The sequence below is a fragment of the Homo sapiens genome, chromosome 5 (genome assembly GCF_000001405.40).
Source record: "Homo sapiens chromosome 5, GRCh38.p14 Primary Assembly".
In the NCBI taxonomy this organism is placed as follows: Eukaryota; Metazoa; Chordata; class Mammalia; order Primates; family Hominidae; genus Homo; species Homo sapiens.
Window position 1 is genome coordinate 168,570,253 of NC_000005.10, and position 14,532 is coordinate 168,584,784.

General features: G+C 42.5%; 1 protein-coding gene across 1 annotated transcript in view, besides 4 other annotated features; it reads right to left on the reverse strand.

The window, feature by feature from the left end:
- PANK3 (pantothenate kinase 3) overlaps positions 1 to 9,116 on the reverse strand; it is a 30,874-nt gene extending 21,758 nt beyond the window's left edge. Inside the window, exon 1 of the mRNA NM_024594.4 lies at positions 9,004 to 9,116. Within this exon, the coding sequence (NP_078870.1) occupies positions 9,004 to 9,031 (28 nt within the window). The 5' untranslated portion in view covers positions 9,032 to 9,116. The remainder of the gene's footprint in view (positions 1 to 9,003) is intronic.
- Positions 8,844 to 8,913: an enhancer, noted in NCBI's record as "active region_23591". NCBI's record gives its function as "activates an Ori minimal core promoter by ATAC-STARR-seq in GM12878 lymphoblastoid cells {active_cell/tissue: GM12878}" and the evidence as "EXISTENCE:reporter gene assay evidence [ECO:0000049][PMID:35858748]".
- Positions 9,004 to 9,547: an enhancer, noted in NCBI's record as "H3K27ac hESC enhancer chr5:168006261-168006804 (GRCh37/hg19 assembly coordinates)". NCBI's record gives its function as "activates a minimal SCP1, AML or CMV promoter by ChIP-STARR-seq in primed H9 embryonic stem cells {active_cell/tissue: H9 hESC(primed)}" and the evidence as "EXISTENCE:reporter gene assay evidence [ECO:0000049][PMID:30033119]".
- Positions 9,064 to 9,393: a silencer, noted in NCBI's record as "silent region_16598". NCBI's record gives its function as "represses an Ori minimal core promoter by ATAC-STARR-seq in GM12878 lymphoblastoid cells {active_cell/tissue: GM12878}" and the evidence as "EXISTENCE:reporter gene assay evidence [ECO:0000049][PMID:35858748]".
- Positions 13,590 to 13,639: a silencer, noted in NCBI's record as "silent region_16599". NCBI's record gives its function as "represses an Ori minimal core promoter by ATAC-STARR-seq in GM12878 lymphoblastoid cells {active_cell/tissue: GM12878}" and the evidence as "EXISTENCE:reporter gene assay evidence [ECO:0000049][PMID:35858748]".

The following is a 14,532-nucleotide window of genomic DNA, read 5'->3' on the forward strand; positions in this document are numbered from 1 at the left end:
CAGGCGCCTGTAGTCCCAGCTACTCTGGAGGCTGAGGCAGGAGAATGGCGTGAACCCGGGAGGTGGAGCTTGCAGTGAGCAGAGATCGCGCCATTGCACTCCAGCCTGGGCGACGGAGCAAGACTCCGTCTCAAAAAAAAAAAAAAAGAAAGAAAGAAAGAAAGAAAGAAAATCATCATCTCCTCTACACCAGGAAACAGGAATGCATATGAATAAAATACCTGCCCTGAAGGAGCGCTCAATGTAGCAGGGGAATATAAATAAAACACATTAAGAACGAGATACACAAAATAAAATTTTATATAAGTATAGATTAATAGAAGGAATGATAAACCCTATGCCTGTGTTTGACCGTAGAAAATACTAAAACAACAAAAAACCCCATCCAAAGGTGAAGAGGCATACGTCAGTACGGTTAAGGAACTAGAAAAAGGGGGAAGTCTAAGGAAATAGATGAAGGACCTTGCACACTTAGCTAAAGAGCTTAGACTTGAACTTTTTAGACAACGGGAACACTACTGACGTTCTAAGTAAGAGAGTGGCACAGTCTACCTTCAAATTAGAAAGCAAACAAACTTTCTACTTTGGCAGTGTACAGGATAATATAAATGAGCTGCTTAAGATGTGCCAGTAAAGTAAGGCCAGCGATAGAGGCCATCTTAAGTAACACCCTCTTGAAAAAAATGGTATAGACCATTTACAAAACCCTTATCATTTAAAAACAGATTCCTGACGTCTTACCTCAGAGGCACTGGACAATAATCTTTAAGAGTGAGATACGGGATGCTATTAAAAATTATATACTGTATATATTCGGAAGATTATACTATAGTCAGATCTAAATGGCATTTGAAAATGACTGGCTTTGGTCACCTGATTCCTTCAGGTTATGAAATTCAGTTTTACAACGTGATTTCCTTATATTTATTGGCCACAATCCTTATACTGACACAAAGGAGTATTTTCCAATTGTTCCCAAGGAAGTCAGTATTATAATATTATGAATTACAAAATTCAAATTTTTAGAATTAGTTTAAAGCACAACTGATTCAGTTCTTCATAGAATTACAGCTAACATTTACTGAGTGCTCACTACCTGTCAGACACAGGCTCATTTAATCCTCAGTACCCCCACTATAAGATTGCTCTATTAAGTGTACCACTTAGACAAGGAGGCAAAGCAATTACAAACTTGCCTGAGGTCAAACTGTTAAGTGACAGTGCCAAGATTCCATCCTAAAAATATATATTTCTATTCTCTAGGATCTTAACTATTATGACAGAGACTCAAAAAGAGTTTAATACTCAAGATACATGGATTAAAATGTCTGGCAACAAAATATATTTAACAGTTTTTATGTAAAAGTTGCCAATAAAAATTATTTCTAAAATTCTACTTTCTCATTTTATTTGATATGTGTGTGCATTACAAAACCAGGAACATATAATTCAATGAGAAAGAAGTCTATACATTTCTCCATTTTATAATTTACACATTTACTAAAATTAGTATATAATTTTTAATACGAGGAAGGAGTAATCCTCATTATCTTCTTTTGGAGAAATAGCTCGTTCGTCTTTATATTTGAAACTCAAATTAGAGATCTGGAGCTACATTACAGATAATCTTAAGAAACAGTATTCTGTATTCTGGAAAGGTACTTCCAGTGTAGGAAAAAAAGTTTTTTAAAAAAGTAAAATGACATTAGACCATAATTTGGGAAGCCAGGGGCAGCTTTGAGCTCAAACACAATACTTCATCACGTCAACTATAAACAGGTATAAATAACTAAGCAACATAAGCAGAAGAAAGTGACTATATTTTCTCAGTTTTGTTGAGTGCCTAGCAACATAGGCCTTTTTTTTTTTTTTTTTTTTTGAGATGGAGTCTTGCTCTGTGGCCCAGACTGGAGTGCAGTGGCATGATCTCTGCTAACTGTAGCCTCCACCTCCTGGGTTCATGCAATTCTCCTGCCTCAGCCTCCCAAGTAGCTGGGACTACAGGTGTGCACTACCACGACCAACTAATTTTTTTATTTTTAGTAAAGAAGGGGTTTCACCATGTTGACTAGGATGGTTTTGATCTCCTAACCTTGTGTGTGTGTGTGTGCAACAAGGCTGTTTATTTCACCTGGGTGCAGGCGGGCTAAGTCCGAAAAGAGAGTCAGCAAAGGGTGGTGGGATTATCATTAGTTCTTATAGGTTTTGGGATAGGCAGTGGAGTTAGGAGCAATGTTTTGAGGGCAGGGGGTGGATCTCACAAAGTACATTCTCAAGGGTGGTGAGAATTACAAAGAACCTTCTTAAGGGTGGGGGAGATTACAAAGTACATTGATCAGTTAGGGTGGGGGAGAAACAAATCACAATGGTGGTATGTCATCAGTTAAGGCTATTTTCACTTCTTTTGAGGATCTTCAGTTGCTTCAGGCCATCTGGATGTATATGTGCAAGTCACAGGGGATATGATGGCTTAGCTTGGGCTCAGAGGCCTGATGTTCCTGTCTTCTTATATTAATAAGAAACTCAAAACAAAATAGTGGTGAAGTGTTGGAGCAGCAAAAAACTTTGGGGGTGGTATGGAGAGATAATGGGCGGTGTTTCTCAGGGCTGCTTCGAGTGGGATTAGGGGTGGCGTGGGAACCTAGTGTGGGAGAGATTCAACTGAAGAAAGATTTTGTGGTAAGGGGTGATATTGTGGGGTTGTTAGAAGGAGCATTTGTTGTATAGAATGATTGGTGATGGCCTGGATACGGTTTTGGATGAATTGAGAAACTAAACAGAAGGCACAAGGTCCAAATCTAGCCTACTAGAAATGTGTTCGTTCCTTGAGTGCTGTTTTTAAAGAAAGGTAAACTAGAGAGCTATCCTGCAGATGATGACTTCATAGGAACCATAATATGCAAACCAGAAAATTGCAGGCTCCTTCTATTATTTCTAGCATATATCAGTTATAACAATTTTCTCCTTAAAATCAACAAAGCAGGGACTGAAAGAGAACTCAGCCCTGCTATAACTTCAATTAAGAAAAAAGAAAAGTTGGTGGCTGGTAATGGCCACCTTTTACACTGAAATCCTTTCAATTCAATAGACTTCAGAAATTAATTTCTTTATGCCAGAAAAATAATCACTATTAAAAAGCACGAGATGCAGAACCTCAGCAAGGCAAAAAAAAAAAAAAAAAAAAAAAAAAAAAAGGCACAAAGAAGGCAGCACAAACAGAAGAGACATAAATTCTCAATTATGATACACTCCTTTGTTTAAATCTTTTTTTAAAAATTATTATTATACTTTAAGTTTTAGGGTACATGTGCACAATGTGCAGGTTAGTTACATATGTATACATGTGCCATCCTGGTACGCTGCACCAACTCGTCATCTAGCATTAGGTATATCTCCCAATGCTATCCCTCCCCCCTCCCCCCACCCCACAACAGTCCCCAGAGTGTGATGTTCCCCTTCCTGTGTCCATGTGTTCTCATTGTTCAATTCCCACCTATGAGTGAGAATATGCGGTGTTTGGTTTTTTGTTCTTGCGATAGTTTACTGAGAATGATGATTTCCAATTTCATCCATGCCCCTACAAAGGACATGAACTCATCCTTTTTTATGGCTGCATAGTATTCCATGGTGTGTATGTGCTACATTTTCTTAATCCAGTCTATCATTGTTGGACACTTGGGTTGGTTCCAAGTCTTTGCTACTGTGAATAATGCTGCAATAAACATACGTGTGCATGTGTCTTTATAGCAGCATGATTTATAGTCCTTTGGGTATACACCCAGTAATGGGATGGCTGGGTCAAATGGTATTTCTAGTTCTAGATCCCTGAGGAATCGCCACACTGACTTCCACAATGGTTGAACTAGTTTACAGTCCCACCAACAGTGTAAAAGTGTTCCTATTTCTCCACATCCTCTCCAGCACCTGTTGTTTCCTGACTTTTTAATGATTGCCATTCTAACTGGTGTGAGATGGTATCTCATTGTGGTTTTGATTTGCATTTCTCTGATGGCCAGTGATGGTGAGCATTTTTTCATGTGTTTTTTGGCTGCATAAATGTCTTCTTTTGAGAAGTGTCTGTTCATGTCCTTCGCCCACTTTTTGATGGGGTTGTTTGTTTTTTTAGTAAGTGGTCTAATTACCAACATATATTTTCCAGTATTATCTACAAAATACTTATGATTGATATATGTCACCAAAATAAGGGGAGGGCATGAAGCTCAAACTTTACTTATTTGCAGTGAAAATATGAGTAAATATACAGACATTAAGTACAACCACAGGTCCACCTAATAGTTCCATGAGGTAAGAAAAACACCCGTTTCCTGGCCTGGTGCGGTAGCTCACATCTGTAATCCTAGCACTATGGGAGGCCGAGGTGGGTGGATCACCTGAGGTCGGGAGTTCGGACAAGCCTGGGCAACATGGTGAAACCTCGTCTCTACCAGAAATACAAAAATTAGCCAGGCTTGGTGGCGTGTGCCTGTAATCCCAGCTACTTGGGAGGCTAAGGCAGGAGAATTGCTTGAACCCAGGAGGCAGAGGTTGCAGTGAGCTGACATCATACCACTGCACTCCAGCCTGGGCGACAAAAGCGAGACTCCATCTCAAAAAAAAAGAGAAAAATACCAGTTTCCTAGGAAATCAAGCAAGTATCTACATATTTATAGCTTTGTTGCTTCTAGCCAAGAGACCCTTGAAAAGTAGGTCATCAGTGCACAAGCAGCCTACTTACGGCATATAACCTTAACATTTTTTTTTTCAGAATAAAACATTCCTTGCTAAGGTGAAAAAAAAGAACCAAAATACACATTTAAAAAGCAAAACAAAACACACATTACACAAATATAAGCACTTTGATGATGGTCAATATACAGTCCCAGACTGTGAGAATTATTAGAATCTCTCATGACCTGTTCATTATGCCTTTAACAAAATAATAGCTCTTATTCTATGTCTCAAGTGGTCTTATGAGAGTTGACATTAGTTCCCCATATGTAGCAAAAATATCTCAAACTACTACAAGGATGAAGTGCTATGTCTTACCAGACGCATTATATATGCAAAAGGAGAAATCTTCTTGTCCAATCACCTTTTAAGATACTAAACAGCAGAAGCTATCTAGCCACAAGAGCAGACTGTTAATTTCTAACAAGGTGTGATAAACTCAGTATCCTACTAAGTGTTTGCTAAGGAAGCAGAGAACACTAACATAACTATTTAATTGCTACTGGTACCATGCAGATTTCAGACTAAAGGGATCCTGGCCAGGAACATGGCTCATGCCTGTAATCCCAGCGGGAGGGTCACTTAAGCTAAGGAGTTCAAGACCAGCCTGGCAAGGGCAACATGGCAAAACCCCATCTCTGCCAAAAACAAAAAAATTAGCTGGGCATAGTGGCAAGCACCTGTAGTTCTAGCTACTGGGGAGGCTGAGGGGGGAGGATTGCTTGAGCCTGGCATGCCAAGGTTGCAGTGAGCTGAGATCGTGCCACTGCACTCCAGCCTGGGTGACAGTGTGAGATCGCGTCTCAAAAGAAAAAAAATAAAAAGAAATAGGGGAGGGGGGAGATACTAAACTAAATCAGTACTTAATTGTTCTTTAGGCATAAAGGGAAACCAACATGAAAAACGCTCGAAACATAGGGTATTTTAAAAGAACAAAATTATAAAGTTAGCATGTATGCTGGTATATTCTAGATAACGCTTCAACTTCCTGGATAAGACATTTCACTATTCTCAATAATCATTCCAAACAAAAATGGGTTTTGTTCTGAAATAGACTTAAGAAAATAATCATCTTCAGACCCTCAGTACTGATTCCTTAGGACAGCTTCAGGTAAGTGGTTTTTTCTTTAGTAAATTAGTTATTTCTAAGGGGAGCTATATTAGAAACTACTACCCCAACTATCTACTGGGAGTGATGACTCATATTACAACTGAGTTTACAACAGGCCAATCAAATTACACAGACACAAACTACAAATATATGCTATACCATTTTCTCTGGTCTTAACAAAAATTTCAAGTACCTTACTACTTGGGTTAATAAAGCACAAACTCAAAACCTACATCACACCACACTTAAATACATGTATCACCTTTTACTATCACCTTGTTAATCCAGTTACATGCTATACAGGTAACCCAAACACAATCTTAAAAATCTGTACCCTAAGAAATCATGGCAGGCAGGGAAGAGAGTAACACAGGATTGACTTTCTCCTTCCTTCCCCTGGCGTTGAATTAACACATAATTTCAAATGCTAATCTTCCAGTTACACAATTTAGAGGATGAAACTAATTCCTTTTTAAATCTTCTGGTTAATATATGCATTCGGGTTTATAACCTGTTAAGATATTGGTAATGTATTTAGAAGAAATATTTTCTAACACTTAGGTAAATAATGTGAAGCCAAGGTCACTTGTTTAGCCAATATAATATACAGCTTCTTCTAGTATGCAGTTAAATGATGCAATGCACATAAAGAAAATGCCATACACACACTATGTGATCAATAAATGTTTTAATTATGCCAAAAAAAACCCCATACAGGTATTCAAAAACAAAACAAATATATCTTTTGTTAACCTGAGTGATTTAAAGTTAAAATAATATTAATATTATTATTATTATTATTATTTGAGACGGAGTGTTGCTCTGTTGCCCAGGCTGGAGTGCAGTGGCGTGATCTCGGCTCCCTGTAACCTCCGCCTCCTGGGTTCCAGCAATTCTCCTGCCTCAAGCCTCCCGAACAGCTTGGACTACAGGCGCGTGCCACCATGCTCGGCTAATTTTCCTATTTTTAGTAGAGATGGGGTTTCACCATGTTGGTCAGGCTGGTCTCGAACTCCTGACCTCGTGATCTGCCCCACTCAGCCTCCCAAAGTGCTGGGATTACAGGTGTAAACCACCGTGTCCAGCCTTATTTTTTATTATCTGGGACAGTTCATGGTTGAAATACCTTCTTTCCCACACACAAAACGTCATGTTCCTTACTTTTACTACAAACAACAGACAGTAAAGTTACCTTTTACATATAAAAATGTTAGGCTTCTACACCATAGTAACTGACCAGATTTTCAGCATGATTCAATTTTAAGATTAATGGTCTCACAACATACCACAATGTTGTAATAATCAACTTATTTGGGGAAAAACAGGGGGTATTCTCTAATTTCTCAACCTAATGTGTATTTTTAAGTCTTTGGCTGGGACTACAGGCGTGTGCCACCATGCCCGGCTAATCTTTTTATTTATTTATTTGTAGAGATGAGGTCTCACTATGGTGCCCAGGTTGGTCTCGAACTCCTGGCCTCCAGCGATTCTCCCGCCTCGGCCTCTCAAAGTGCTGGGATTTCAGGTGTGACCCACCGTGCCTAGCCCTATTTTATAAACTTCTCATAATAATCTTTATAATCTCTCCTAAAACACCTTTGAAGGAGGTAGTACTCATACCTGATTATTAGTTTGTTCAAATCTAAGTAATCAAATCACTATCATGACAAAAGAAAATAATCACCACCACAAGAGTCAGAATTTGAGTTGGTCATACACTGTTCACCAAATGGAAATTCTAAGAGAAGCAGAGAAAACGTATGCGTGAGGGAAAATGTCCAAGTGTTCTAATTACTGCACCTGTTCAAGATGCATTAGTTTAATTCAGCAAATGAAAATTTAAAGTCTCTCTATATTACTTTTCATTTAAGCCTTCACATCACTATTTTATAGATTTCTTGAACAACTATGACAGGATCTATTCAGTTATAAATAATTTTTTAAAAATTTTAATTAACAGATGAAACTACCAGATAAAGTACTTAGACAATGCTCTATGGGTGCAAGAGAAAGAACACTGTATTATGAGTCAGTCCCCTTAGAGTTATGAACCACATAGCACATGGTTGGTACATGCTTGGAAAAGTTACTCTGGGGCTAAGTTCAATTTCCTCACCTGTGAAGTTAAGACCAAATTACCTTACAGTTATATAGGAATTTGTAGTTTTCACAGGGTTTTGGCTTGTTGCCTCTCAGGTGAGTTTTACAGGAACCCCGATAGGCGGGCAGGGAAGGTGTCAGCGCCCTGTTTTATAGTTGTGGATTTCTTAACAGTTAAAGAGATCACATGAAACACTGTAAAAACAGCAAAAGTATCAATACGACTCTAAGATGAGCATGAATCCCCACGTTCCTAGTCCTTCTGGGAGGCTATACTTAAAAAGAGTGACAATCACAATGGCTGGGTGATTAAATAAGTCAATTACTGGAATAAAAGGTTTTTAAAAGACTAAACATAAAAGGAAGCAAATGAAAGTCGACCTTTCTAAAAGCATAGTCAGAATTTAAGTACATGCATAGAAAAATATCTACGGGTATTCACCATAATATTAATAGCGGTTCGCTCCGGGTGCGGGGAATACGGGTGACTTTATCTTTCTTGTTTATCTGCGTTTTCTAAAACAAACATGAACTAGTTGATATTCTAAACAAAAACAAGCCAAAGCAATTACACACTGGCAGACTGCATGCACGTACGTTTGAAAGCTCCAACTGTAACAACAGTGACAACTCCCAGGAACCCACCGGCATTTCAAGGACACAAGCAGGAAGCCCGGAAATCCCTAAAAACAGGTGCTAAAAGCCGCCAGCGCAACCTGACAGCCGCGACCGCCTCTTTTCAACCTGAATTCAGGGGGAGCTGGGAGAGGAGACTAGTCTGGTTTGACAAAAATCAGAATCAGAAATTCCCTCTGGCACCTCCCAGATCTCGAAGAGAAAGTGGGAGGAAAGGCTAGGGGGCGGCAGGCATTCACCATGCATGAATAGGGGGATGGGGAGGACGGAAGCCTCGAACTCGTGGCTCAAATGGTCCCTCCGCCCCCATACCGGACGAAGCGCCGGCGAGGAGCGACGGGCTTGGAAGCCGACCGCCCAGCCAAGGGGCTTTCAGACGGGGCCCAAGGGTGCCCTCCCAACCTGGCGGGCCCCAGCCCCCGTCTTACAGGGTTTCTTGGCATCTTTGATCTTCATGGCGTCGGCCCGAGGGGCGATGGACGGCCTCCGATCCGGGGCACTGAGAGCAGAGGCGGCGACTCCGGAGGTGGCTGGGCCGCGCGGCGAGGCCCGGCCGGTTCCTCCCCTCAGGCCGGGCGGGGCCGGCCTAGGGCGGGGCGGCGGCGCCTGAGGAGATGCCCGGCCCAGGGGGCGGCCCCCCACCCCCGCGAGGGGTGGCCGGGACCGAGCAAGCTGGGGAAGGCCGCCGGCCTCGCCGCTCCGGGGCCCCCCCGCAGCCGCTCCAAACAAAAGGCCCCGGTCCCCGGAGCCGCCGCCACCGCCGCCGCCGCCGCACTGAGAAATAGCCCGCCCAGGCCGAACGCCCACGTGACGCGAGCCCCCCCTCGCTCCGCTTCCGCCCGGCTGCTGGGGATTGTAGTTCTCCGGTTCGTGAGGCCCCGCTCTCTGGCTGTAGTTGTGCAGGTGGACTACAAAGCCCGAGATGCATCGCGGCCCCTCCTCCGAGGCCCCTCAGCTTCCGCAGATCGCCTCAGAGTGGTCCCAGCGAGAAGAGGGCTGGGTCTTAGTCACGCCAGCGAGGAGGCGACCAATGGTGACTGAGATGGGCGTGCTGGGGAAGTCGGGCTCAGACCTCAGCAGGTCGCGGAGAGAAGGGGGAATGAACTCTTCGAGAGGACTGTCATGGCTGTTCGGCCATTCTCAGATTTCCCCTTGAGACAGGAAAGCTGGTCGTCAGGCCATGGAAAGCGCTACAATCAGGGCTCTAGAGCTGTGCTTAAGATAGACCCTTGAGTACATTGGCGGATTAAAATTATTCACAAAGGAATCCTTTTGCTTAATAGAGACACCTTGAATGTTAGGGTCGGAATGATGACAATAGCAGGAATAGAGGTAACATCTATGGAACGCGTTATGTTCATGGGACTCTGCTAAGCACTTTGTGTGATTTACTTAAATTCAGGGGCCTTGTGGACCACGTGCAATTATTCATTTTATTGTCACTCATTTTGAAGATGGGGCACGGTCTGAGGAGTTAAATTGCTTGCTGAGCATTCTTTTTGCCACCGATCCATATTCCCCTGGGGCCCTCCAGCCCAGCTCTCTCCTTCTAAAGGGAAAACTGACTCCCAGAGAAGAAAATTTAGTTGCTCCAGTTCTCACAGTAAAGCCAGGACACCCTTTCCCCTTGCCTCCTAGAGTCTTAGTCCTCCAGCTGGAATGGGAGAAGATGGCATTGGGTATCTTCTCTTGGCCTTCACTTTTGTTGCCCAGTTAGATGGCCAGGAATTCTGTAGTTTTTACAATAGATGGATAGAGGGTTGGCAGTAGAGGATTGGGCATTCCAGTCAAAGAAACCCGCTTACCAAAGAGCCTTACTGCCCCTTCTTGCAGATGATAAGCCAAGGGATGTGAAGAAGGACAGGAGAGGACACAAGCTACCATTTATTGAGTACATACCAAGGGCTGACACTTTGCAAAGTGCCTTACTTTTAAAATTTAAATTTAATCCTCCCAACTACTTTTTGAAATACAATGATTAAAAACTAAAAAAACTTGCTGGGCGCAGTGGTGTGTGTCTGCAGTCCCGGCTATTTGGGAGACTAAGGTGGGAGGCCCAGGAATTTGAGGCTGTATGTGATAGAGTTTGTGAATAGCAACTGTGTCAGAGGCATTTACCAGAGCGACTCCATCTTGAATAGGGATTGGATGAAATAAGGCGGAGATCTACTGGGCTGCATTCCCAGGAGTTTAAGGCATTCTTAGTTGCAGGGTGAGATAGGAGGTTGGCACAAGATACAGGTCACAAAGACCTTGCTGATAAAACAGCATGCAGTAAAGAAGCTGGCCAAATCCCACCAAAATCAAGATAGCAATGAAAGGAACCTCTGGTCGTCTTCACTGCTCATTATATGCTGATTATAATGCATTAGCATGCTAAAAGACACTCCCACCAGTGCCATGACAGTTTACAAAAGCCATGGCAACATCAGGAAGTTATCCTATATGGTCTGTAAAGGGGAGGAACCCTCAGTTCTGGGAATTGTCCGCCCCTTTCCTGGAAAACTCGTGAATAATCCACCCCTTGTTTAGCATATCATCAAGAAGTAATAATAAGTATAAGCAGCTGAGCAGCCCATGCTGCTGCTCTGCCTATGGAGTAGCCATTCTTTTATTCCTTTACTTTCTTAATAAACTTGCTTTCATTTTACATTCTGGATTCTCCCCAGATTCTTTCTTGGAAGAGATCCAAGACCCTTCTCTTGGGATCTGGATCGGGATCCCTTTCTGGTAACAACTGTACTCCAGGCTAGGTGACATAGTGAGACCCATCTCCAAAATAAAATAAAAATGTTAAAAGTTAAAGAAGAATTCACACAAATTCAAATATTGGTTCTATCACTTGTTAACAAACATGGGCAAATTACTTCATCTCTCTAATTCTTTAAAAAAAAAATTTTTTTTAAGATGCGGTCCCACTGTGTTTCCCAGGTTGGAGTGCAGTGGCATGAGCAAAGCTCACCGTAACCTCAAAGAGCAATCTGTGGGTGGGGCGGTGGCTACACTGTAGTCTCAGCCTCCTGAGTAGCTGGGACTGTAGGCATGTGTTACCATGTCCAGCTAAGTTTTTTATTTTCTGTAGAGATGGGGTCTCACTTTGCTGCCCAGGTTGGTCTTGACCTGCTGGCTGGCTTCAAGCAATCCTCTGCCTCAGCCTCCCAAAGTTTTGGGATTACAGGCATGAGCCACTGTACCTGGCCGTCTCTCTGATTCTTGTTGGAAATAATAATGCCTACATTTCACGGGTTTGAGATGGGGATTAAGTGAAAAATGCGAATAAGGTAACATGGCGGTCTGAATGTTTGTATTCGAACATGGTCTGAATTCAGTATTGAGAGGTGGGGCTTTTAAGAGGTGAATGGATCGTGAGGACTCTCCCCTCATGAGTGTATTAATTCATTCATGGATTGATGGTTTAAGGAGTTAATGGATTTATTAAAAGAGGCTTTATTAAAAGAGTAATAGTAAATCAAACGTAAAATCTAGAATCAAAATCTGGTCTGATTGGTGCCATGTGGTTCCTTATCTTTTACCTTTATTAAAAGAGGCGGAGGCCAGGTGCAGTGGCTCATACCTGTAATCCTAGCACCATAAGAGTCAAAGACAGGTGGATTGCTTGAGCCCAGGAGTTTGAGACCAGCCTGGGCAACATGGTGAGACCAGGCATGATGGCTCATGCCTGTAATCCCATCACTTTGGGAACCCAGAAGTTTCAGACCAGCCCCAGCAACATAGCATACCCAGTTTCAAGTGTTCTGTTAAAAGCAGCAGAAAAGGCTGGGTGTAGTGGCGCATGCCTGTAATCCCAGCACTTTGGGAGGCCGCGATGGGGGGATCACGAGGTCAGGAGATCGAGACCATCCTAACTAACATGGTGAAACCTCGTCTCTACTAAAAATACAAAAAAAATTAGCCGGGCATGGTGGCGGGCACCTGTAGCCTCAGCTACTCAGGAGGCTGAGGCAGGAGAATGGCGTGAACCTGGGAGGCGGAGCTTGCAGTGAGCTGAGATCGCACCACTGCACTCCAGCCTGGGCAATAGAGCAAGACTCTATCTCAAAAAAAAAAAAAAAAAAAGCAACAGAACATGGACTATGATGTATGTAACATATTATCTGGCATATATGTAGTGATCAGTAAGTAATGATTATGTTTATTATTTGGATTGTTATTCTTTTTTTTTTTTTTTGAGATGGAGTCTCACTCTGTACCCCAGGCTGGAGTACAGTGGTGTGATCCTGGCTCACTGCAACCTCTGCCTCCTGGGTTCAAGTGATTCTCCTGCCTCAGCCTCCCAAGTAGCTGGGATTACCAGCGTGTGCCACCACGCCTGGCTAATTTTTGTATTTTTAGCAGAGATGGGGTTTTGCCATGTTGACCAGGCTGGTCTCGAACTCCTGACCTCAAGTGATCCACCTGCCGTGGCCTTGGATTGTTATTCTTATTGTAAAGTAAAGGAAGAAAGCTTTTGTATTTAGACATTTTGCCTAAGGTCATTATTTGGGATCAGACCATAGGTCTAATTAGGTAAAAGATAAGGAACCACATGGCACCAATCAGACCAGATTTTGATTCTAGATTTTATGTTTGATTTACTATTTTGATTCCAGATTTTATGTTTGTTGTTTAGAAAATTTTTTTTTAGGGACGAGGTCTCACTCTGTCACCTGAGCTGAAGTGTAGTGGCGAGATCTCACTCTGTCACCCAAACTGAAGTGTAGTGGCATGATCATTGCTCACTGCAGTCTCCAACTCCTGGGCTCAAGGGATCCTCCTGCCTCAGCCTCCCGAGTAGCTGGGACCATAGGCATGGACCAAAACACCCGGCTAATTTTTTTATTTTTTAATTTTTTGTAGAGATGGGTTCTCACTTTGTTGCCCAGGCTGGTCTCAAACTCTTGGCTTCAAGCCATCCTCCCACCTTCACCTCCCAAAGTGTTGGGGTTACAGGCATGAGCCACCTTGCCTGGCCTTTATTTGTTTTGTTTTGTTTTGTTTTTTATAGAAACATCTTTCTGAGCTACCAGGAATATGACTTGGCAAGTTAGAATCCTGAATGGTAGACTTAACCTGCACTTCCTCTTTTATTTCCTGTTATTACTCTATCCCACACAGAACCTTAGATATTCTAGAATGGTCCTGTTTTCCACAGTTTTATTGGATGAGAGTCGTGATTTCTGATCTGACATGGCTTCAAAGAATACTCACTATCTAATATGATTTACCTGCTGCTTTTATAAATCTTATGGGCACACCAAGTTCTCTGACAACATATATCTTTTGGTTGTTTCTGGTTCTCTTTGACAGTATCAGCTTGGAAGTCAAAGGGGAATTGATACGTATGTCTTGTGATAGTCTGGCCATGGTCTGAAAGGAAGAAGAGCTAGAAATTAGAAGCCACAGAAATTTGGGTAAGTTTTGGGCACAGGCTCTTGCTAGTTTCTGTGGCCATAGAGATGAGTGTACACATGGATGACTTAGCTTAAAAGTTAGGCTATACACCTGTGATATTACTAGAGTTAACCATCTATTTGCTGTTTGTTCAAAGATGAGACTACTCTTTGGTCTGTTATGCCAGAAAATCACTGAACTTTGAATAGTGAGAATTCCTGTCTCAGATCAGCCATACAATTGCTGTGTGACCCTGGGAAAGTCCTTTTTCTCTCTGGGCTTCAAATTACCCATCTGCAAAATGAGATGACTGTTGGAGATTTTTTTTTTCTCTTTTTGAGACGGAGTCTCGCTGTGTCGCCCAGGCTGGAGTGCAGTGGCATGATCTGTGCTCACTGCAAGCTCCGCCTCTCGGGTTCACGCCATTCTCCTACCTCAGCCTCCCCAGTAGCTGGGACTACAGGCACCCACCACCATGCCTGGCTAATTTTTTGTATTCTTAGTAGAGGTGGGGTTTCACCGTGTTAGCCAGGCTGGTCTCGATCTCCTGACCTTGTGATCCGCCC